At 39.9% G+C, this 24,010-nt stretch overlaps 3 long non-coding RNA genes across 2 annotated transcripts in view; 2 read left to right on the top strand and 1 right to left on the bottom strand.

Annotated features, from left to right (window-relative positions):
• The window catches only part of LOC105370733 (uncharacterized), a 440,742-nt gene that overhangs the window by 364,227 nt on the left and 52,505 nt on the right, over positions 1 to 24,010 (bottom strand).
• Positions 1 to 24,010, top strand: part of LOC105370732 (uncharacterized) — a 50,985-nt gene that overhangs the window by 15,476 nt on the left and 11,499 nt on the right. The window lies entirely within an intron of this gene.
• PWRN2 (Prader-Willi region non-protein coding RNA 2) lies at positions 8,247 to 13,418 on the top strand. Its single transcript, NR_152824.1, has 2 exons — positions 8,247 to 8,422; positions 9,300 to 13,418. It is a non-coding gene; the product is annotated as a Prader-Willi region non-protein coding RNA 2 (long non-coding RNA).

The raw sequence follows: 24,010 nt of genomic DNA, 5'->3' as shown, positions 1-24,010 counted from the left end.
GTCTGGCTAATTTTTTGTATTTTATTAGAGACAGGGTTTCACCGTGTTAGCCAGGATGGTCTCAATCTCCTGACCTCGAGATCCACCCGCCTCGGCCTCCCAAACTGCTGGGATTACAGGCGTGAACAACCACGCCCAGTTTAAGATTATCAATTTAAATGAGGCTCTCCTTCCTATGGGGTGAATTGTAAGCTCAGAGGGGTAAGCAGGTTTATTGAATTATAAATGTCCCAAATAGTAGCACCTGAATTATTGCTACAATCTTCTTGGAAGTAAGAAATGTGGTCAAGGTCAGCTGTATCTCTTACTCCACGTCTCCTGGGTGCAGGAATTTATTTTCTCACTGGAGCTATGAAGCTGGTATGGAGAATGTAGCCCATGATCACGGTCTGAAAAAGCAAAAAGAGTCCTAACTTCATGGATGTCCTTGGGAGTGCAGCACACAGTCCCATGGCTTAGTAAGCTTTGTGGACATCGTTCCTGGAACAACCCTGGTGCCCTCCCATAAAGTGGTGTGGCCTGTGAACGGGGAGCTGTGTGGGGGATGAGGGGACAATCCTCCCTGCTGTGGAGAACTTTGTTTAAGCAGCACAGATGCAGAGTCTGCACTGAGCCTGTGTCCATCTCTTAGATCACTGCATGGTGGGCTGGGCTATGTTGTACTGTGCTCTTCTTTCCTTTTTTCTATTAGGCTATTTCCACCTCTGCACAACACACTCTGTATCACTAACATGCCTCGCTTTCATATGCCTGGTGTCTGAAGGTTCATTTCAGGTCTCTGTAAGCAGGAATCAGCCTACAACCCCATGATTAGAAGCTTTTATTTTCATAGCTAGTGAACCTTCTACACTATGATATTGTCTGTGCTGCAGCTTTTGGGCCTCTCACTGGACAAAAGAAATCCATGATATTATAGCATCAGGGGACTGTGTGGTGCCATGAATTCATGATGGAGTCTGCATAATAAAAAGAACTTAATTATCATAGGGTATTCTCAAAGGCTTTAAAAACTTTAAAACTTGAACAAGAGAATCTCTGAACTAAGAAAACACTCCTAATGTAGAAATATTATTTATGTTCCCCATCACTGGTGTTTCTCAATCTTGTCTGGAAGTCATGTCTTTCAAAATGTCTTTAGTGAGATCCTACAAAGACACTACCACAAAGTGCCTGAAAATAGGGCCTTCTAACACATGTGGGGCAGGCACCTTTCTTTGAAAAAGTGGTTACTGATGTATGAACTGGTGACTGGGTAATGGAGCATATGATGGGAAAGAAGAAAATGGATGAGAGTCCCTGGAGCTTGATGAGGTGCCTGAAGCCTGAAGCAGGTGCCCTGTGTAGGAATGGGGATAATAAGGCAAGTACTTTGCCTTTCACTCCCTGCATCTCCACTCATCCTCTGGTCCAAGGTTTCTTGTTGTTTATGTCCATCTGTGTTGGTATTTTTTTTTGTTCCTAAATAATATATTTTAAGAATATTTTTATTTGAAAATAATTTTAGTTTTACAGAAAGTTTCAAAGATAATGCAGTTTTACATAATCTACAGCTTTCTGAAATGTTAACAACTCATGTAACCAGAATGTATTTATGAAAACTCAGAAATTGACAGTGGTACAAAACTATTACCTGAAATACAGTTAATAGTTTTGAAGCATTAACTGAAAGACAGACTTTCTTAATATTTTGCCAGGTTTTCCACTGATGTCATTTTCTCTTCTAGAATCTAATTACATTTACTCTCAGGTATATTACCTACAGGTCGCTGTATAACATATAACTGAACAGCTTAGATGTTCAAACCCACACGTAACTATTACTTAACCTTTTCTCTGGATCAGATGACCCAGGCTGAGGTTTCAAGCGAAGCATCCCCTGAGGAAGGATCCCTTTCCCAGCTCATGTTAGTGTTGGTAGGATTCAATTTTTTTCTAGGTTGTGATGACTTCACTGGTGAATTATTCTAACCCCTTTGAAAATTAATAACAATCTTTATTAACTAATCTTTCAAGAAAAAAAAATAAAAACAGAGGAGTAGAGAACACTTCCCAATATGCCGCATGAAGCCCGTTTTCCCTGATAGCACAACTGGACAAAGAGATTTCAAGAAAGGAAAATTACAGACAAATATGCCCCATGAAACAGAGGCAAAAATTCTGAAGGAAATACTATCAAAATAAACCAGTAACCTAATAAAAATAGACATTATGAGCAAAGTCATTTGTCCCTGAAATATGTTTTGTTAAACATACAAAAACTATTACTGTAATACGCTATATTGTCAGAGTGAAGGACAAAAGCTTCATAATTATCTCTAAAGATACAGAATAAGCAGTTGAAAAATCCAAAACACATTCATGATAACAATGCCGAGCAAATTAGGCATAAAAGGAAATTTTCTTAAGTGATAAAAGGCATCTATGAAAAACTCACACAACAACACACCATATTATGAATGTTTCAGTAATTTCTTCAAAAAATTAGCAACAGGACAAGGATGTATGCTCTTGCTACTTTTATTAAGTATTGTATTGGAACATGTAGCCAGGGTAATTAGGCAAGAAACATAAATATAAGACTTCTAGAATGAAAAGGATGAAGTTAAGCTTTCTCTATTCATAAATGACATAATCCTATGTATAGAAAATCCTAAGGAAATTACTAAAAGAAGATTAGAAACAAAAAATGAGTTCAGTAACACTTTAGTATACTAGAGTAATAAAAATCAATTGCATTTCTATATATTGTCAATTAATCTAAAATAAAACATAGAAAACAATTCCATTTAAAATATTGTGAAAAAGAAACAGACATTTGGGGGCAAAGGGGACCAACCTAAGAAATATAAAAATAAGGAGAGATTCTTAGTTTAAATGTCAAAGTATCTGTACATAAATTCTCTTCTTTAGTTAGAAACATTCTTTCCCATGGGTGTATGAATTACCAATTCTAAAACTACTCTGCATGTATTTTGGACTCATTGATTATATAAAGGAGGCCAACTATCTCACTGTTAGCGTGGGAGGTTACATACAAGTAGTGGGAATGGGGAAACTGATTTATGTAGTCTTGAATTAGATCATGGGTGCTGGAAACATTAATAAGAATTCATGCTGAACTTTACATAGGAATAAATGGAGAAATGTTGTAGAAATGCATATACATATGTGAGTGTGAATTACATACATACATATAATCCTTTGTTCTGTCAGATGACAAAACATAGAATTAACAGACGCCTGGCAGAAATGACAACACCATTGCCGAGACCTTTGTTTCTAATGCCATTCACCAAAAAAGGAACTAGGAATTTGGGGGAAAATGGTAAATGGCATGGCTGGGAAGGGAATCAACACTATTAAGCTTAAGTACCTTGTAGAGCCAGAAAGTAAGAAAAAGTTAAACAACACAACCAAACAACACACCACACAAACCAAATCAAATAGCAATAATATGGGTATTTCAAAGTGGTAAAGCAGCTGACTGAAAGGCCTTCTAATGACCAGCACTAGCACAATTTGAACAATACAATAAACTAGTCTAATCACAGGGGAAATAAATATTTTTTATTTGCCAATATTCCATATAATATAAATAATTGACTAAATAAATGCTGGAGAAGAGATACATTGCCTATGATAATGAAATACAAACGATACTATACAAGTTCTGCCCTAAGGAGGTGAAGAATAATTCCCCAATATTAAGTATGCGCTGTGCATAGTGACGTTTTTTTCAAAAAGTACGACGTGGATAGGGGGAAAATTAATTTTACAGTGGAGAAACTGGACACACACTGCCTCATCCAGGTGCTCAAATTAGTATCAATAGTGATAAAAGCATTTTGAGAATATATGCCCATGGTATAATGAGTATTACACTCACTCCTGTCTCTTCTTCTTCCACATCTACAAATTCAGTCTAATTGTTAGTAAAAACAATCATAGAAATCCTAAATGGAGGATGTCAATGCCACGAAAAACATGGAAATTCAGAGAAACTGCAGAGACAAAAAAAGCTTAAGGAGACATGATATCTAAAGGTGTTATCCTGGAAGAGATCCTAGAACAGAAAACAAACAGTAATTAGGAAGAAAAGAAATCTGATTAATATGTGGATATCAGTGAATGAGAATGCATAATGTTGGTGTGTTAATTGTGACAAATACCCATGCTCATATAAGAGGTTAATAATGATGGAAACTCTGTGTTGGTTGCATATTAACTCTCCATGCTGACTATGCAACTGTTATGTAAGTCCAAAGCTAACGTAAAATAGAAAAGCTTTTTTTCTTTCTTTAAAAATTCACTGCTGACCTTAACAAACTGAATATTATCAATATTGTTGATGCTCTAAATGTGCAGCTCCCCAATTTCATGGCATTTTTTACCCCCATGAAGGTTACTATTATTTTCAGTTTCCTATTTGTCATTTCCTTTTTGTATTATTTTTATGTCTATGTTTATATTTCTAAATAATATATTCAGTTTTTATTGTCTTCAAATTAAGATAAAGGTGTTCAAAATAAGTCTATAATTCTATTCAAATAATGAGAAATCATCAGATGAATCCACATTGTGATGCTTCCTATAAAATACCTCACCAGTTCTTTTCTTAGCAGCTGAGAGTCTTCAAGATAAACGAAGACTGGGAAACTGTTGCACATCAGACAGGACCTGATGTGGCTGGTAGACCTTAAGATGGTGCCCAATGATCCCCACCTGCCAGGGTGCATGACCTTGTATTGTAATCCTCTCCCTGTGAGTATGGGCATGAAATGTGACTTGCTTTCACACAACACAATAATACAAGAATATTAGATGTCACACGACTGATCATGTTACGTAAAGTTGTGATTTTTTTTTTTTTTTTTGGTCTTGCTAGCAAGCTCTTTGCCTTGATGGCTTTGATAGAGCATTCTGCCACATGGGAGAAGTCAACATGGGAAGAAACTGAATGCAGCCTCTAGTCAACAGCCAGCAAGGAACTGAAGCTGCCCTACAGTTTGCAATTTAAAATTCTGGCTAATCCAAGCCCCCTTTCAAGTAACAATATATCACTTAAGATGTGGTGTGAACACCTTACAGTAACAGAATAACCCACATTCTTTCCTTCTATCACCTATTGCAGTTATTCATCTCACTTACATAAGAATAAATGCACATAAATGTTTGTATGTATACATATACACACACAATGATATATATTTAACCATATCTAATCAAATATATTCAAACTAATGTTTTTAACAAGCTGTTATTTGTTAGATTAATTAAGCATAAAATTATTACCTAGACTAGTCACTAAAAAGGTAAAAAAATAGAGATATGCTAAGAAATGAGATGAACTGATATAAAGTGCTCAAAACAACAAAAGGTAGAAAATGAGTGAAATACAAAAATAAGAACAAAGACAAATCAACAACTGAAAAATGGTAACAAATTTGGTAGATTTTTAATCCAACTATATCAATAATCACTTTAAATGTCAATGTTCTAAATGCACTACTTAAAGGACAGAATGCATCAATAAAAGGAAGCATGGGATAGAAAGAATAAATTCATGTAACACGTTACAATCTGAGAAACAAGAGAACATCATGAGGTTTGCAGGAGAATATCAAAGAACATTTAAGAAGTCACACAGACAGGCCGGGCATGGTGGCCAACACCTGTAATCCCGGCACCATGGGAGGCCGAGGAGGGCGGATCGCTTGAGGTTAGGAGTTCGAGACGAACCTGGCCAACTTGGGGAAACCCCATCTCTACTAAAAATACAAAAATTAGCTGGGCATGGTGGCACCTGCCTGTAATCCTGGCTACTCAGGAGGCTGAGGCAGGAAAATCGCTTGAACTCAGGAGGCAAAGGTTTCAGTGAGCTGAGATGGAGTCACTGCACTCCAGCCTGGGCTACGAGAGCAAACCTCCATCCCCAAAATAAAATAAAATAATAAAATAAAATAAAGACTAAAACTACCAGACAGCTTACAGGTAGGGGATTTTAAAGACACAGAGGGGAGGGGTAATACACAGTCATAAATTAATATATTGAGGTTACACATTGGTTTTAGACTAAAAGGATGAAGTATCTTGAAGTGGAAGCTTACAGGTCATAGGGGGATTCAGAGATTTTCTGATGTGTGATTATTTAAGAAAGTAAAATTTGTCAGAAAATTTGGGATCAGCAGAAAGTAATGGTACTTTTGGCTCATAGACGTAACATTCCATAGGCCACTCAGGAAGAAATTGAGAATAAAGAATGGCAGAGTTCATTTCATAGATCCCCTTTATCTGAGGTCTATGTGCCAGTGGATCCATTTAGTAGAGGGGCAGCTTTCTGAACAACAACTCAGGGACATATGCTAAGCTTTGATTTTTAGTTTCCATAGGGAACCCCATATTCCCATGACTCTCCATTCCTTGCTACTGTTTTACCTTCTTGCTTGTCCAGTGGCTCGTGTACTTCTCAGAGGTAGAGAGGTGCCTGGAATTTCTGTGAAGGGACTCAAGATTTTCCTTTATTTCCATGCTTGGGGTGGTACACAGGCCCCTATGAGGGGTCCCTGCACCTTCTCAGGCCCTAAATGAATCCTCATCTGCTTGTGGGACTCCTGAATTTCATCTACCATGTTCTTGCTTTTGTACTGCTTGCCGCTTTCAGGTAGGAAAACTCCTGTTCAACCTTGGCAGACAAATCTCATCTTCACTGGCCAAGACATTTGGATGACTATTCGTATATGAATTATGTCAAGAGTGCCAAAGTTCAGTATAAAATAATGCACATCAGTTGATCCACTATTATTTAATAGAAAGGTGGGTAAATTATTGACTATGTCAATGAAAATGGAGATATAAATAGTTGCCAGCAGAAAAGTATTTTTAAAATGTTAAGCTAAATGAGAAAAAATAATAAAATATTTTAACACCTTTCCTAAAAGTGATTGTTACAGATATATTTGCTGAATAGAGCAAAATTATGTGTACATTTTCTAAGTGGCATTTTAAAAATTTGTCACTGAGACTATTTATTACTGCCTCAATTTCAGAGCCATTCTTGGTCTGTTCAGGGATTCAGTTCCTCTCTGGTTCAGTCTTGGGAGGGTGTATTTGTGCAGGAATTCTTCATTCTTTCTAGATTTTCTAATTTATGTCCATGGAGGTGTTCATAATATTCTCTGATGGTTGTTTATATTTCTGTGGGGTCAGTGGTAATATCACCCTTGTTGTTTCTGATTGCATTTATTTGAATCTTCTCAACATCGCTCATTATTAGAGTAACGCAAATCAAAACCAAAATGAAATACCATCTAACACCAGTCAGAACGTATATATTAAAAAGTCAAAAAATAACAAATAACAAATAATCAAACAAATAACAGAGGCTGGCAAGATTGTGGAGAAAAAGGAACACTTATACAATGTTGGTGGGAGTGTAAATTAGGTTAACCATTGTGGAAGACAGTGTGATGATTCCTAAAAGACCTAATGACAGAACTTCCATTTGACCCAACAATCCCATTTCTAAGTATATATCCAAAGGAATATAAATCATTCTGTTATAAAGACACATGAACACATATGTCCACTGCAGCAATATACACAATAGCAAAAACATGGAATCAATCTAAATTGTCCATCAACGATAGACTGTATAAAGAAAATGTGGCACATATACACCATGGAATACAATGCAGCTATAAGGAACAACCAGATGATGTCCTTTGCAGGGACGTGAATGGAGCTGCAGTCCATTATTCTTAGCAAGCTAACACAGGAATAGAAAACCAAATATCTCCATGTTCTCTTATAAGTGGGAGCTAAATGATAAGAACACATGGACACATAGAGGGGAAGAACACACTCAGAGTTCCTGAAACCATTGGTCTGGTTTCCAATGAGTGGGGCAATCAGACACACAAGCACACCAAGGCTTAACCGCTCTGCTCACTGGAAGGGAAAGAAACTACCCAGGAATGCCACCTGCTTCCAACTAGCTGATCCCATGATTGAGGCTCTAGGGAATTTCTCTTTACCTGCTGAGATATTTCTGTCTTGGGGAACCTCCTTTCTCTTCTTGCCACTGCACCAGCTGCCAACTACACTTCCTTACCACAGGGCAAGTGACATCTGAAGAGGCTGACAGACTTCAGAGCTGGGTAAGGCAACCAGAATACCCCCTGAACTGCCTCTGCCTGTTCTGTGATGTCACCTGACCTCTGCTCTGTTTACATATAGCTGCTTGTGACATCATCTGGGCATGTATGGTATCTGTATCTACGTCAAGACCTGGGCTTTGCTCCACTTGGAGTCAGCTGATTGACAGGAGGGCATCTGAAATTGAGAGGAGATTTCAGGACGTTTACCCAGCCCTTTAGTGGGGATCTGTCCGGGACTGTGCAGTCTGAACCTGCAACTGTAAAAGGTACAATATCTACATTTAGGCCCTCATCTCTGTCTCTCTCTCCTCCTCCTCCTTTCCTCTGCAGGGTGATCTGCATAAGCCCCACTCCATCCAGGATCCGGCCCTGGAGGGAAACAGCCTCCACTGCCCTAGCAGGGTCACTCTTTTTAGGGCCCTGGAGTACTTCTCACAGCTGTGCCAGTTTTTATGGGGAAAGGAAGGATGTGAACAATTCCATAGGTTATCTAAAGGGCTTGCCACCATGCTTATGGTGCTTAATGTTGTTTATGTGAAAAAAAGCTTAACAGCATATGGGATAAGTATTTAGGCAGTCCTGACTCCAACCCCTCTGCCCTTTTTATCTGCCTAATTTACCATTTAATTTGTTGCCATTCGGTTACCATCTACTAGGGTACTAAGGACAGCAGAACATGGACTTGGGATGAAGTTGATGTGCTGGTGGGCCGGGGCAGGGGGTGGAGCGGGGGCAGGGTGGTGGTGGGGGAGTGCTGTGCTAGCTGGTGCTAATCACTAGCCTGCCCAACTAGTTTATTCTCTGGTCTCTTTGGCTGTCCCAGCTGTGTGGTGAGATTTCCACAAGTCTTCCTTTTAGGACCATGAGTGGTATTAATTGCACTGCTTATATGAAGCTAGAAACGTCTTTCCAACCCATAGAGGTCTGGTTGAAGGATATGAGCAGTGCAGAACAGAAGAGAGACAACAAATAAAAGTTGTCATCACTGTTTCACAGGGATGAGCAGTATGGACATAGAAACCACGTCAGGAGGGGAAACAAGGTCTCTATCACCTCTGGGAGGCCCCTGGGGCATACCCTAGCTAACTGTAGAGCCTATAGCTATCAGCCCATGACTAACAGAAAAATGGTCTATTATTGCAGTGCTGTTTGGACTGTGGACAAGTTAGGTTATAAATTTTGACCTCTGAATGGACGCAACCAATATTAGCCTTTAATGCAGTTAGACTCATTTTGTCAGAGGTCTGGAAAATTAGGAAAAACTACCATATGTCCAAGCCTTCATGCTTTTCGAAAATCAGGATTCATACCATGAGGGAAGATGCCAGCTGCTAGCTATACCAAAGGACAGAATGGAAAAAAGGCTCTTCACAAGCCAGAGAGCCAAACTCAGGCAGAAAGCAATGAAGAAGAATTAGGACTTTTAAATGTCCTACACCCAAGCTGTTTTAGCAGCTCCAACCACCACAGCCAGAACGCACCTGGCCTCTGCTCCACCTCAACAGCTCCCACTGCAGTACCACCATACGGGGCCCTTAGCACTGGCCTCTGCGTTGGACCGGATTGCCTTGATGCTACCAAGTGAGGCATCAGACCAATAAGAGGGAGCTACTCTGCCGCCTCAGTATAATGAGAGAACAGAGACGGCCTCTCCCTCCAGTGCTTGACAGGGAACATGATTTAGCAAGGAATTGCCATGGCCGGAGCAAAGGAATTACCGTTTACAGGGATGGCCATGGGTGGCTTGGATGAGAGTGGGCAACCTGTCAGACATTACTGGACATCCAGCCCATTTTCAACATCTAACTTGTGAAATGGAAAAACTCCACCCCACTTTATACAATGGATCCCCAGAAAATGACTGATCTCTATGTGTCTATCTGTGCTACCCACCAGCGTACCTGAGCAGATGTGTAGTCTCTCCTAAATATGTTTCTGACTGCAGACCAAAGAAGGTCCAGAGTCTTGGTGCCTCCATGAAACAAATCCAAATACCCCAAACCTGAAGGGACCATTCTGGATGCAAACCCTAATTGGGGCTCCAATTGATAAGGGGACATGGCCCATCTGGAATATTCACAAACATTCTTCCTGTTTGGACTCAGGAAAGGGGTACCAAAACAGGAAGCCTCACTAGGAATGACCCCTTCCCCGCTCCAGAGACAAAGAAACAGAAGTTTCAACCATAAACGTGGAATGAACAAGGAAGCCTCTGCATCAGAAAAATCGAGGCAAGCCTCTGGAACACAGCCAGTGTGCCTAGTGTAAGGAGAAAGGCCACTGAAAGGATGACTGTCCCAAAAGAAAGGACCAAGGGGCCAGAAAAAGGAGGAATATGATGAGGAAAAAGCTCAAAGTCAAATCATGGAGCAGGGTCACTGCTCTGACCACAGAGAGTGATGCCTGGGGACTCTCCTTAATCACTCAGAGACAATTAAAATTTCCCCACAGGAACCCTGGGTACAACTGACAGTGAGGAAAAAGTTAATTGATTTCCTGGTTGATACTGGGCAAACTATTCAGTTTTAACACTTTATGAGCAAAAAGCACCAAAATGATTGTACCTGTGATAGGAGTTGCAAGAATAATGCAACAAAAGGCTTTCCTACAACCTTTAGAATGCAAACTAGAAAGTTTGGACCTAAGGCACTGCTATTTCTATATGTAAGAATGCCCAATTCCCTTGCTGGGAAAAGACCCATTATGCAAATTAAATACTCAAGTAATTTATCCCCAGAGAAACAACTATGGCTGCAGGTCCTGCTAAAGCAAGCACTGCAACTAAGATGTTACTCACTTGCCTTAAGAAGAAACAAGAATTCTCCCTCAGAAGTCTATGAGAGAGTGCGTAATTGTGAATAGGCAGAAGGAATCCCAGGAAAAACAAGAAATATACAGTGAGTGCATATAGAAAAAATAGAAGGGGCTACTGTGACCTGGGCGGCGGGGAGGAGGCGAATAAAAAAATCAGTATACATTAAGAAAGGAAGCCTTAGAAGGAATACAGCCTGTCTTTCAAAAATTTGAGAAGTGGACTGATTCATCCTTGCAGATCCCCATATAATAGCCCTATCGTGCCTGTAAGGAAGCTACACTTCTACAAATATCAATTTGCCCAAGACCTGAGAACCGTTAATAAAATAGTCTTGGATATTCACCCAGTGGTGCCTAACCCAGATACTCTACTGACTGCTATATATAGACATTATGAATGCTTTTCAGTGCTAGATCTGAAAGATGTTTTCTTCTGCATTCCAATTGAAGAAAAGACCCAACAATTATCATTATTATTTTTAATGACAGGACCGAGAGACTAAAACAACCTTTCAATACTGTTAGACAGTGGGGTCTCAATGTGTTAAAAAATGCACCAACAATTTTTGGGGAAATACTGGCAAAAGACTTAGGAGACCTACAACAAGATTAAGAAGCCTGGCTACAACACATAGATAATTAATAGCCAGCCACAACTATAGGAAATGCTTAGCTGATGTCATTTTAGTTCTAAATCACCTGGTACAATATGGATACAAAGTATTCCCAAGAAGCCCCAAATATGTAAGTAGAAAGTAACCTGTCTTGGCTTTAGGTTAAAGCAAGGCCAAAGGAGCCTGGTCTGGTAAAAAAAAAAAACAAAAAACAGGCAATAGCAGCCATAAAGCTCCAGAGAATGGGGGCAACCATGGGGATTCTTAGAAAGGGTTAGCTTCTGCCAGATTTGATTCCTAAGTTTGGACTAATGACTAAAACACTTTATGAATCCTTAAAGGATTCACTAGACTCAGAGGCCCTTCTCTGGACATCTAAAGGTCAACAAACATTTTATACCATCAAAGAAAAGCTGATATCACCCCCTGCACTGGGATACCAAATTCCCAAAAGCTGTTCAAACTCTATATCCAAGAGAAACAAAGCATAGGTGTGGGTTGTGCTAATGCAAATGCTGGGAGATGCCCCACAATCCATGGCCTATTTCTCTAAACAATTACACCAAAGATTAAGGGATGGCTCCCCTTCCTCTGGGCAAGAGCACCCACTGTGAAGTCCTACAGGAAGTAGAACAATTTACTCTGGGACAGCCAGTTACCTTGTTTGTACCCCATCAGGTGCTGACTCTGCTAGAACAAACGGGAGGCTACTGGCTCACTGTGGGGTGAGTGGGCAGATACCAGGCCATCCTCTTATATGATCCAAATATCACCCTACAAACCACCATGGCTCTAAACCCTGCCACACTGCTCTCAGCCACTGAACACAATCCTGGGTTAAAGCATGACTGTAAATCCTTGATGCAGCTTATTCAAGCATGCTGAACCTGTCAAACTAGACAATGAGTGCTCTGGACTTGAACTACACTGATGGGAGCAGCTTAATGAAAGATGTGCACAGAGCCGGATGTGCCACTGTGACTACCAAAAGGGTAATAGTAGTCCATACCCTTCCTGCAGCTACCTCCGCACAAAGAGCTGAGTTAATTGCTCTTACCTGAGTCTTTAGAACTGTCCCAGGAAATGGGAGTAAAGATTTATTCTGATTCCATATATGCATTCCTGGAAATGCACGCCAATTGGGTGATCTGGAAACATAGAGGAGGTTGCTTGAAATCAGAAAATACAGACATTAAACACCCAAGAGAAATTCTGGACCTAGTAAAGGCAATTGCCTTGCCTGCCCAGGCTTCCATCATGCACTTCCCCAACACCAGAGACATAATTCACAACCGAAGGTAACCAGGCAGCTGGCAAAGCTGCAAAATGAGCTGCTTGGGAGGCACAGGTCCTGGGACATGAATACTCCATTTGGAATTACTAGATTTTAAACCTCATTACACTGAACAAGATCCCAAACGTGCCCAAGCCAGGGGTTTGAGAAAAGAGATTCCAATTCCCCTAGAAAACTGACACCTATAAGATAACGCCTACAGGATGATGAAACCCCAAGGCCTTGGTTTATCCAATCTCAAAACATCTACATAAAGGAATGCACTATGGGAGTGATGTCCTCGCCAACCTAGTACAACCACACCTCAGTAGACCACACTTTCAAAACATCACTCGGAAAATTACACAGGGATGCATCTTGTGCACTACAAACAAACAATCCCAAGATGGAATGTAGTCCTCCTAAAAAGGAGATATAGTACAAAGAGCTGAGTCCCTTCAAAGACTGAAAGGCGGGCTTCACTCAGATGCCTACCTGGTTATGTGCGCCAAGGAAAGATCTGAAGTTATTAATAAAAGAAAAAGAAGGAGATATAAGCAATATACTTTTGTTAACATGAAGTTCTCAATTAGTTCTAGAGTAATAAGTACATACTTGATCTTTGCTGAAACTACACGAATGGGTGTAGACAGTGGTTTTCCTCCAAAACAAAACAGACTGCTGGGTCTGTGGGGGAGATACCCCTTTCTCCACTGCTGACTTGCCATGGCACATCCAAGCTACCACCTCGAGCACTTGGAGTTATGTTTATACATAGGACAAGAGTAAAAATTCTCACCCATTTCCCATCTATGATTACAGTACCACTCACCATGAGTGCTCCACTTTTGGAGAAACCTGGAAACATTTCTTCCATGTGGCTTGTAAGCAGGTTAATATCACCCCCTCTATAGACTATGCTGTACATGACAACATAGGATGGCTGATGATGGTGCAAATTCAGGCAATGGGTCAGGCACCTCTACGCATCCAAAAACACAAGAGCAACACACCCCACACTAGCAGCCAGGCTAAGGGATGGTTACCTCTTAGTAATGTGGCCAAACCCATCAACTGAATAATAATATGTGGCTAGGATGGCAAAATAGTATCAAGCTACATGATGGGGCCTATCCTTTCTCCTGGAGTTAGCTATGGGTGTGAGGCAGTCATAGCTGGTCTTACTTACCTTACAGCTGGATTGGCAGGTACACCTGGGGGTGCCCTTACCTACCAGGACACATCCTGTCCCATCTGGACTCTCTCCCTGACCACTGGGAAAATGTGAAAGACAGACAACACCATCAAAAATGGGCACCCTGTTGGTTCTACTCACTAGCTGCCTTTTCCTCGCAGACAGCAAACATAGATGTAGAATTATAAGTAGAGACCTTAAGTATAGAGCTGCTGCCTGTAATAACACCTAACCCAACATTACCCTTCCCACTGAAAGAACTCGTAGATTAGACAAGTGACCCTGTAGAACCCTATGGCCTTAGATATCCTAACTGCAGCCCAGTGTGACACCAGTGCATTAAGACTGAATGGTGCGTATATACACCAGATTACTCTCACGATATAATCCAAGGTATGCATGCACTGAATACTCATATTTCTGCTATAAATGTCCTCTCCCAGGATCCCACAATGTCATGGTTTAGTCGACTTCCATGTCCATGGAAGACTCTCATATATGGTATAATTGGTATTCTGCTCCCCGTTCTGTTTGGTTGCTGTAGTTTTTGTTGCTTTTCAAGATCTGTATGGAGATGCAGGAAAAACTTTCCCAGAAACTTTTGGGTCCCCACACTATAATGCTCCAAAACATTCTCACATTATTCTGGGAACCCACGAATATTTCCAACTCCAGGTAAACAGATTCCAATCTGATACCCTCTAACTGTGCCCCTTCTCAGCAGGAAGAAACTAGATGGACTGTGTTGCCCACGTTCCTTGGAAATGCTATGGTCTTTTATGGTGCAGGATTGTAATTGAGTCATGTTGCTTCAAAATACACTTAAGTTTTTCCTTTCTCTTTTTTTTCCTTCCTCCCAGTCTCAGGATGTAACCTTGAAGCAAACTGCAGAAACCATTGCCTCAGTCTTCAAGTAGAACCTTGAAATATACTTTGGAACCACACCCCATTCAGTTTCCCACTGTACATGTCCATGCCTTATACACATTTATCTAACTGTATGCTGGCGAAACTCACACAATGCATAATTATCTAACTATATGCCTGTCAAAAAATACCAGAGGCTAATTTAAAATGAATCAAACATACAGGCCCAGCTGTGGTATTGTCTCTCTCTTAAAGATTGCCTCTGGATGGATACCTATGGTCTGGCACTATCAAGATGGTATCAGTCTGTGGCTCCAGGTGGACCATAACTCAAGATACACATGGGAGTAAGACACAGACTCCCTGAATCTGCACACCTCCTGCATGCCTCCCATGTTATGCATTATGCTTCCCTTTCTTTAAAAACCTGCCCTCAGTCCAACCTTGTGAACTGGTTTATACAGGTGTCATCCAGCCATTTCCCTACTGCTGGATTTGAAAAATAAAGTCACTTTCCTTTCACCCTGCAAGTCCTCCTTGTCATTGCTTTTGAATGCATAGAACAGCCGGACCTGCACTCAGTTACATGTGTATCATAAGAGGAATGGAATATGGCACTTTTCTCCTTGACTGGCAATGACTACTTGGAAAAAGGGGTACCTCATCTTCTGTATTACAGTATATTATTGAAGAAATAGACTTCTACTTTCACATAAGCTGACCAACTGCATTTACCCTCTAGCTAGCAGTGGAGGCAAAAACAACTCAATCTTGAAAGCTAATTCATCATGTTGACTTCTGATTAACCCCCGTTTGGAGACTGCCTCTAAGCTTTTGGTATAAATATTTTTTTCCTTTATATGCAAACTAGGGGATAAGATTTCTATTGTGTCTACTGTTCCTTGTGAAAATCATTATTTTTCTGTAAATCCTGCCCTTAGGTCAGAACCACCATGACTATAAATCCTGTGCTTAGATTCACATGGCATTTCTGCCTTTCCCTGACAGGTAGACTTCAGTTTTCCTACACATTCCTTCCCCATGGTATATAAGTCCTATGTGAGACTCAAATATCTGTTCATAAATCCCTACTAAATGTTTCTTTCTAAGGGACTGGTTATATCAGCCTCTATCTTCAGCTGTTCAGCTTCCTCATATTTTGGTGGTAGGTTTACAAAGACCTGCCCTCCATGGAATGCTAATTATTAAAAATGGAGAGCTTTTAGTGGAGTAATGAAATCCCTATTTTGCGTATGTAGAAATAATTTTAAAAATGATGGTCCTAGAAATCTGTTGAGGAGGAAGTAGAATTGTAATGAGTTACATGAATGTTTCCCTGACAGAGATTTAAGGCTTCAGGAAGACTGAATAAAGTGAACATGAAATCATGGTCTCAATTGTACGAGCCACCCATCCATTAAACTCTAACTTCCAATCAGTCTAAAGTGTGGATGGAGAAAGAGTGTTATGTACTTGCCTTGTGAAGAGGTCTAAGAATTCGGCTTGTTTGCAATGATTCAGGACAGCCACTCTGAAACCTGGTAGCTTAGTATATTATGGGAAATCATAATTTTTGTGCTGTCAGAGAGGTTGTTTGGGAACTTGGAGCACAACATGATGTCATCTGTGCCTGTGACTTCAGTTAGCACAGCTTTCAGTTTAGTGCCTGTTTTCTTTTAAACCTCATCTCTCCAGTCTCCATCTCCCTGATATGCCACATTGAGATGGGTTACACCTTGAATGCATTTACTTATGTCTATATTATGGTTTGCCATTCTAGCTTTTTTTTTTTTACTTGCTTCCTTGTTTGGTGAAGGACAATCTTCACACTCTTCATCATGATAGATTAGAAAACATACATTGAAATGAAGAACAAAAGGGATTTGACAAGTCACCTAAGTATGATAGTATCTCCAGTTCAAATGAAATAAATGGAAACACTCACCATGTTTTAAAATGGGAACCTTAAATGAAGCTGTCATGTCTCAAGTAATAAAGTATGAGCTTAAAGAAGTTAGTTTTCTTGAATTACAAATGCTCAATTAACACCACCTAAGTAACAGTTATCCTCATCTAAGAATGAGAAATGACATCCATGAAGCTGAATGTGTCTTCCAATTTTCTAGGTCACAAGAGCTCATTTTCTCACTGTCACTATTACTGTGGTGTAGACAATAGTCCCCATGTTTATAGACCAAAAAACAAGTCATTATACATGGCCATGGGTGTGCAGAATGAAGTCTGATGTCTTTGTGGGTTTTTAGGCATGGTCCCTGGAAACAACCCTGGTGCTGTCCAGCAGCGTGTTGAACAGGAAGTTGTGTGTGGGGTGAGTGGAGAGTCCTTCCTGCTGTGGGATTCTTTGTTTAGCCAGCACATATGTAGAATCACCACTCAGCCTGTGTATATCTCTTAGATCACTGCTGGAGGGTTGGGGATATGTTGTATTTTCTTCCTTCCTTTCCTTCCTTCCCTCTTTCCTTCTTTCCCTGTTTCCTCTCTTTCTCTCTCTCTTTTTGTCTCTCTTTCTTTCTCTCTCTCTCGATCTCTCTCTCTCTCTTTCTTTCTTGGGTCTGACTTTATTGATCAGGCTGCAGTGCAGTCACACAATCATGGCTCACTGCAGCCTTGACCTCTTGGGCTCAATCCATCCACCTGCCTCAGCCTCCTGAGTAGCTGGGACCACAGGTGTGTGCCATTATACTGAGCTAAATTTCCTATTCTTTTTTTTGTAGAGACACAGTTTCTCCATGTTGCCCAGGCTGGTCTTGAACTCCTGGACTCAAGCAGTCCACCCACTCTGGCCTCCCAATATGCTGGCATTACAGGCATGAGCCACCACACCTGGCCTGTTGATTAGCCTGCATCAGGTTTTCCATGCCTGTGCAAAACCTATTTTGAATCTCAGCTGCCAAAAATCTGGTGTGAAAAGATTTTTTTGTCCAGGTCCAGATAGGTAGAAACTGCCAAAACCACCAACCATCATATATACATATATATGTATGTTGTATTCCACCCACCTGCTGTCATGATGATGCCCATTTGGTGACTTTGGGATTGCTGATATAATTCTGTTACTCAACAGAATACAAGGTTCCATAAAATTCCTGATGGAGAACGTGGAGTGAAAAGAAATTATCACAGAATTCCAACAGGGCTTGACGGCAGAATTATCTTTAGAAAACTAAGCCTGTATTAATAAAAAATCATAATATGAAAATATAACTTACATTTCTTGTCACTAACATTCCTCAATCTTGGTCTTTGGCATCCAGAAACTTTGTCTGCCAAAATATGTTCAGTGGGAACCCGTAGATATGTTCCTAAATGATATCTGAAAATGGGCCTTTCTGGGGTATGCGAGGCATAGGCAAATATCTCTGAAAAGAGAGAGGTTACTGACACTCAAACGAGTTACTTGGTAATAAAGAGTGTGATGGGGAGGTCAAATGTGGACAAGAGTTCCTTGAGTTTGATGCTGGCTTCCTGAAGTAGATGGATGTATGTATGGAAGGTAAATAAATGCGGAAATCTGCTTGGCAATTTTTTTCCTATATGTCCATTCATCTCCTGAGGCCAATTTTTTTTTTGAATCATGATCTCACTCTGTTTCCCAAGCTGGAGTGCAGTGACACAATCATGGCTCACTTCAGCCTGGAACTCCTGGGCTCAAGCAATCCTCCCAAGTCAGCCTCCCCGGAAGCTGGGATAACATATGCATGCCTGTCTTTTTTAATTAAAAATAAACAATCAAAGATTTCATTTTAAAATAACTTTGATATACATAAAGATGCAAACATAGTACAGCTAGTTTTACATACCCAGGAGTTTACTAGAATGTTAACATCTTATTCATATACCCATAGTGTATTTATGAAAACTAATAAATTTATAGTGGTATAAAACTATTAACTGAACTACAGACTTTCTTCTGAGTTTACCAGGTTTTCTAGTAATGCCATTTTTCTGTTCCAGAATCTAATCCAGGGTAGTAGTATAAATTAAAGGTACTATCTTTTGTATTAGTTATCAGTTGCTGCACAACAAATTGCCACATAGTGCGGTGGCTCACAACCACACATACATTACTTACAGTTGCTCTGGGTCAGGAATCCAGATGTAGATGATGTCCAAGGCTGAGGTCTCAACTGAAGGCTCATCCAGAGAAGGATCCCCTCAAAGTTCATGTGATAGTTGTTAAGATTCCATTTCCTACCCTGGACTGATCACGGTGGGTCAAACTTGTAATACCAATGCTTTGGTAGGTTGAGGCAGGAGGATTACTTGAGGCTAGGGGTTCAGGACCAGCTTGGGCAACATAGTGAGAACCTGTTTCTACCAAAATAAAAAGAAAAGAAAACAAGAAAAAAGATTAGCCAGACATGGTGGCATGTGCCTGTGGCCCCAGCTACTCAAGTGGCTGAGGCAAAAGGATTGCTTGACCCCAGGAGTTCAAGTCTGCAATGAGCTACATTCATGCTACTGTGCTCAATCCTGGATGGAGTGAGACCCTGTCTCTGAAAAAAAAAAAAAATTCCTGACTTGGTCAAGAAGACATCACCAGTGAATGATTTTACATCTTCAAATAATTAATACCAATTTATCATATATTTTTCAACAAATAAACAGTAAACCCCAAGCCTGTGGCATCTAGCAGTGAAATGAGGAGCAAGCAACCCAGCCAAGGATTTTGAGATAATGTGTTCTTGTCCCTCCATCCATCAGCCATCAGCACCTGCATTTCAAATTCCAGTTCCCAGAGAGGGAGGAAACTGGTGGCAGCCACATGTGCAGCACAGCAGTGTCGGCTCCAGCAACAGCCCAGTTCCCAGGGTGTGCCTCTGGCTTCATGGAAGTCACCTGCTGCACTGGTTTGCCAACTGTTTGTTTTTCTAAGTCCTCATCTGGGAATAGGTAACAACTTTAATAGTAATATTTAAATCCTTGTTTTGTTCAATTTTTAAGTTTTTAGAAACTCTGATTTTCTATTTTTTATAGATATTTATGAAGGCTCACAAAATGTGTCACATCAAATGTCTACAGGTTAGGTCTCCTAAGCATACAAACTAAATTGGCCTTAATGAAATACCAGAATTTAAATCTTGTATTTCTTCTAATTAATGAGCACCTGTTTGTCAACCCATATTTTCATCTTTCTCTATACTTGTAGGTAGTGTATTTAAAGAAAGAAATATGCAAAATAGTGAAAATCATATTAAAAAGAGTAATTTATCATCCACCTTTCTCTCTCCCTTTCTAGTGTATTGTAAATCTCCATCTATGTAGCCCAATCACATCTCTTTACTACTCTCATTTGGTTTTATTCACTTATACAATATAATTGTTTGCAAAGTCTGAAAATTAGCTTGAAAAAGTGTACTTTTTTCTCCTTTTTATGTGTTCAATTCTATTTGTGCTAAATAAATTTAGACCTTTCACATAAAAAACAGTAAGAACAACAGTGAAGAATGGATCAATTTCCAATGTGAATTATCAGCCTTATACCATAGATAGACAAAATTACTGAAGAAAAACTATGATCAATATGACTTATGAACATAAACACAAAAATTAAAGGAAATACTATCAAAGCAAATAACAGACATGTAAAAATTCATAAATTTTGACGAAGGTATACATCTTACAAAGGCAAATTTGGTTCAACATACGAAAAGAATTAGTGCCATAAACTATATTAAGAGACAAGGGACACAATACACATGGCCATCTTAAAAGATGAGCAATAAGCACCTGCTAAAGTGAAATGTCATTCATTATAAAAACATGCAACAAGTTAGGCAAATAAGAAAAATTTCCTCATCATGAAAGCACAGAAAACCTCACATGACATCCTAAATGTTCTGAGAAGCTCAAACACTTTCTTGTAAAATTAGAAACAAGAGAAGGATATCACTTTCACAGTTTTATTCACCACTGTATTGGAGGATGTGGCCAAGGTAATTGGTGTAGAAAATAAATATAAAAAAGTCAGAGAAGTAGGCTTCAGAAGATCAAACTACTCCGAGCTAAAGGAGGAAGTTCGAACCAATGGCAAAGAAGTTAAAAACTTTGAAAAAAAATTAGAGGAATGGATAACTAGAATAACCAATGCAGAGAAGTCCTTAAAGGACCTGATGGAGCTGAAAACCATGGCATGAGAACTATGTGACGAATGCACAAGCCTCAGTAACTGATGTGATCAACTGGAAGAAAGGGTATCAGTGATGGAAGATGAAATGAATGAAATGAAGCTTGAAGAGAAGTTCAGAGAAAAAAGAATAAAAAGAAATGAACAAAGCCTCCAAGAAATATGAGACTGTGTGAAAAGACCAAATCTACGTCTAATTGGTGTACCTGAAAGTGATGGGGAGAATGGAACCAAGTTGGAAAACACTCTGCAGGATATTATCCAGGAGAACTTCCCCAATCTAGCAAGGCAGGCCAACATTCAAACTCAGGAAATAGAGAGAACGCCACAAAGACACTCCTCAAGAAGAGCAACTCCATGACACATAATTGTCAGATTCACCGAAGTTGAAATGAAGGCAAAAATGTTAAGGGCAGCCAGAGAGAAAGGTCGGGTTACCTACAAAAGGAAGCCCATCAGACTAACAGCTGATCTCTCGGCAGAAACTCTACAAGCCAGAAGAGAGTGGGGGCCAATATTCAACATTCTTAAAGAAAACAATTTTCAACCCAGAATTTCATATCCAGCCAAACTAAGCTTCATAAGTGAAGGAGAAATAAAATACTTTACAGACAAGCAAATGCTGAGAGATTTTCTCACCACCAGGCCTGCCCTAAAAGAGCTCCTGAAGGAAGCACTAAACATGGAAAGGAACAACCGGTACCAGCCACTGCAAAAACATGCCAAATTGTAAAGGCCATCAAGGCTGGGAAGAAACTGCATCAACTAACGAGCAAAATAAGGAGCTAACATCATAATGACAGGATCAAATTCACACATAACAATACTAATCTTAAATGTAAATGGGATAAATGCTCCAATTAAAAGACAGACTGGCAAATTGGATAAAGAGTCAAGACCCATCAGTGTGCTATATTCAGGAAATCCATCTCATGTGCAGATACACACATAGGCTCAAAATAAAGGGATGGAGGAAGATCTGCCAAGCAAATGGAAAACAAAAAAAGGCAGGAGTTGCAATCCTAATCCTAGTCTCGGATAAAACAGACTTTAAACCAACAAAGATCAAAAGAGACAAAGAAGGCCACTACATAATGGTAAAGGGATCAATTCAACAAGAAGAACTAACTATCCTAAATATATATGCACCCAATACAGGAGCACCCAGACTCACAAAGCAAGTCCTTAGTGACTTACAAAGAGACTTAGACTCCCACACAATAATAATGGGAGACTCTAACACCCCACTGTCAACATTAGACAGATCCACGAGACAGAAAGTTAACAAGGATATCCAGGAATTGAACTCAGCTCTGCACCAAGCAGACATAATAGACATCTACAGAACTCTCCACCCCAAATCAACAGAATATACATTCTTTTCAGCACCACACCACACCTATTCTAAAACTGACCACATACTTGGAAGTAAAGCACTCCTCAGGAAATGTAAAAGAACAGAAATTATAACAAAATGTCTCTCAGACCACAGTGCAATCAAACTAGAACTCAGGATTAAGAAACTCACTCAAAACCGCTCAACTACAAGGAAACTCAACAACCTGCTCCTGAATGACTACTGGGTACATAACAAAATGAAGGCAGAAATACAGATGTTCTTTGAAACCAACGAGAACAAAGACACAATATACCAGAATCTCTGGGACACATTCAAAGCAGTGTGTAGAGGGAACTTTATAGCACTAAATGCCCACAAGAGAAAGCAGGAAAGATCCAAAATTGACACCCTAACATCACAATTAAAAGAACTAGAAAAGCAAGAGCAAACACATTCAAAAGCTATCAGAAGGCAAGAAATAACTAAAATCAGAGCAGAACTGAAGGAAATAGAGACACAAAAAAACCTTCAAAAAATTAATGAATCCAGGAGCTGGTTTTTTGAAAGGATCAACAAAATTGATAGACCGCTAGCAAGACTAATAAAGAAGAAAAGAGAGAAGAATCAAATAGATGCAATAAAAAATAATAAAGGGGATATCACCACCGATCCCACAGAAATACAAACTACCATCAGAGAATACTACAAACACCTCTACGCAAATAAACTAGAAAATCTAGAAGAAATGGATAAATTCCTCGACACATACACCCTCCTAAGACTAAACCAGGAAGAAGTTGAATCTCTGAATAGACCAATAACAGGCTCTGAAATTGTGGCAATAATCAATAGCTTACCAACCAAAAAGAGTCCAGGACCAGATGGATTCACAGCCGAATTCTACCAGAGGTACAAGGAGTAACTGGTACCATTCCTTCTGAAAAAAGGAGGTTTGTTTTAAAATTTGGGGGTCAGGAGAAAAAAATGTTAGCTCTTTGGCTAATGGATTTGCCTCCCTCTAGGCCCCTCAGAAGAAATTTAGTACAAAGAATGGCAGTCAGAATTCAGTTTTCAGGCCCCCCTTATCTGAGGTGTACTTGTCAGCAGATGCCTTTGGTGGGGGTCTAGGTTTATGAAAAATGACTCAGGAATGCATGTTAAGATGTGATCTTTGGAACAAAACAAACATCTTCTGACTGTAACTTCCTTGGCGATTGTTTAGGCTACTATTACCTTCTTGCTTATCAAGTTCCTCATTTCTTTCTCAGTGCTAGCTAGGTACAAGGGATTTCCCTTGAAGGGACTCATGATTTTCCTTTATTTCCCTGCTTGGGGAAGCTACAGGCCCCTAACAAAGGGTCCCTGCTCCATCACAGGATCTTACCCACTCTGTCTACCGACTCACATTTCAGACCTTTCTGGTGAAACCTCACAAACCAGAAGTAAAGCTTTGCCAGTGTTCTAGGTATTCCTTAATACAGTTAGTTGACTCCTAAAACTAAACATCACATTGGGTTTTGGAGTGTCACCCAAGCAGGTTTCTCATGAGGAGTTCAAATTGCTGGGTTAAGGTGAAGCAACCATGATTTCCATAGAGTCAAACT

The sequence above is a fragment of the Homo sapiens genome, chromosome 15, assembly GCF_000001405.40.
Source record: "Homo sapiens chromosome 15, GRCh38.p14 Primary Assembly".
In the NCBI taxonomy this organism is placed as follows: domain Eukaryota; kingdom Metazoa; phylum Chordata; class Mammalia; order Primates; family Hominidae; genus Homo; species Homo sapiens.
This window is presented reverse-complemented; position numbering and strand designations above follow the sequence as displayed.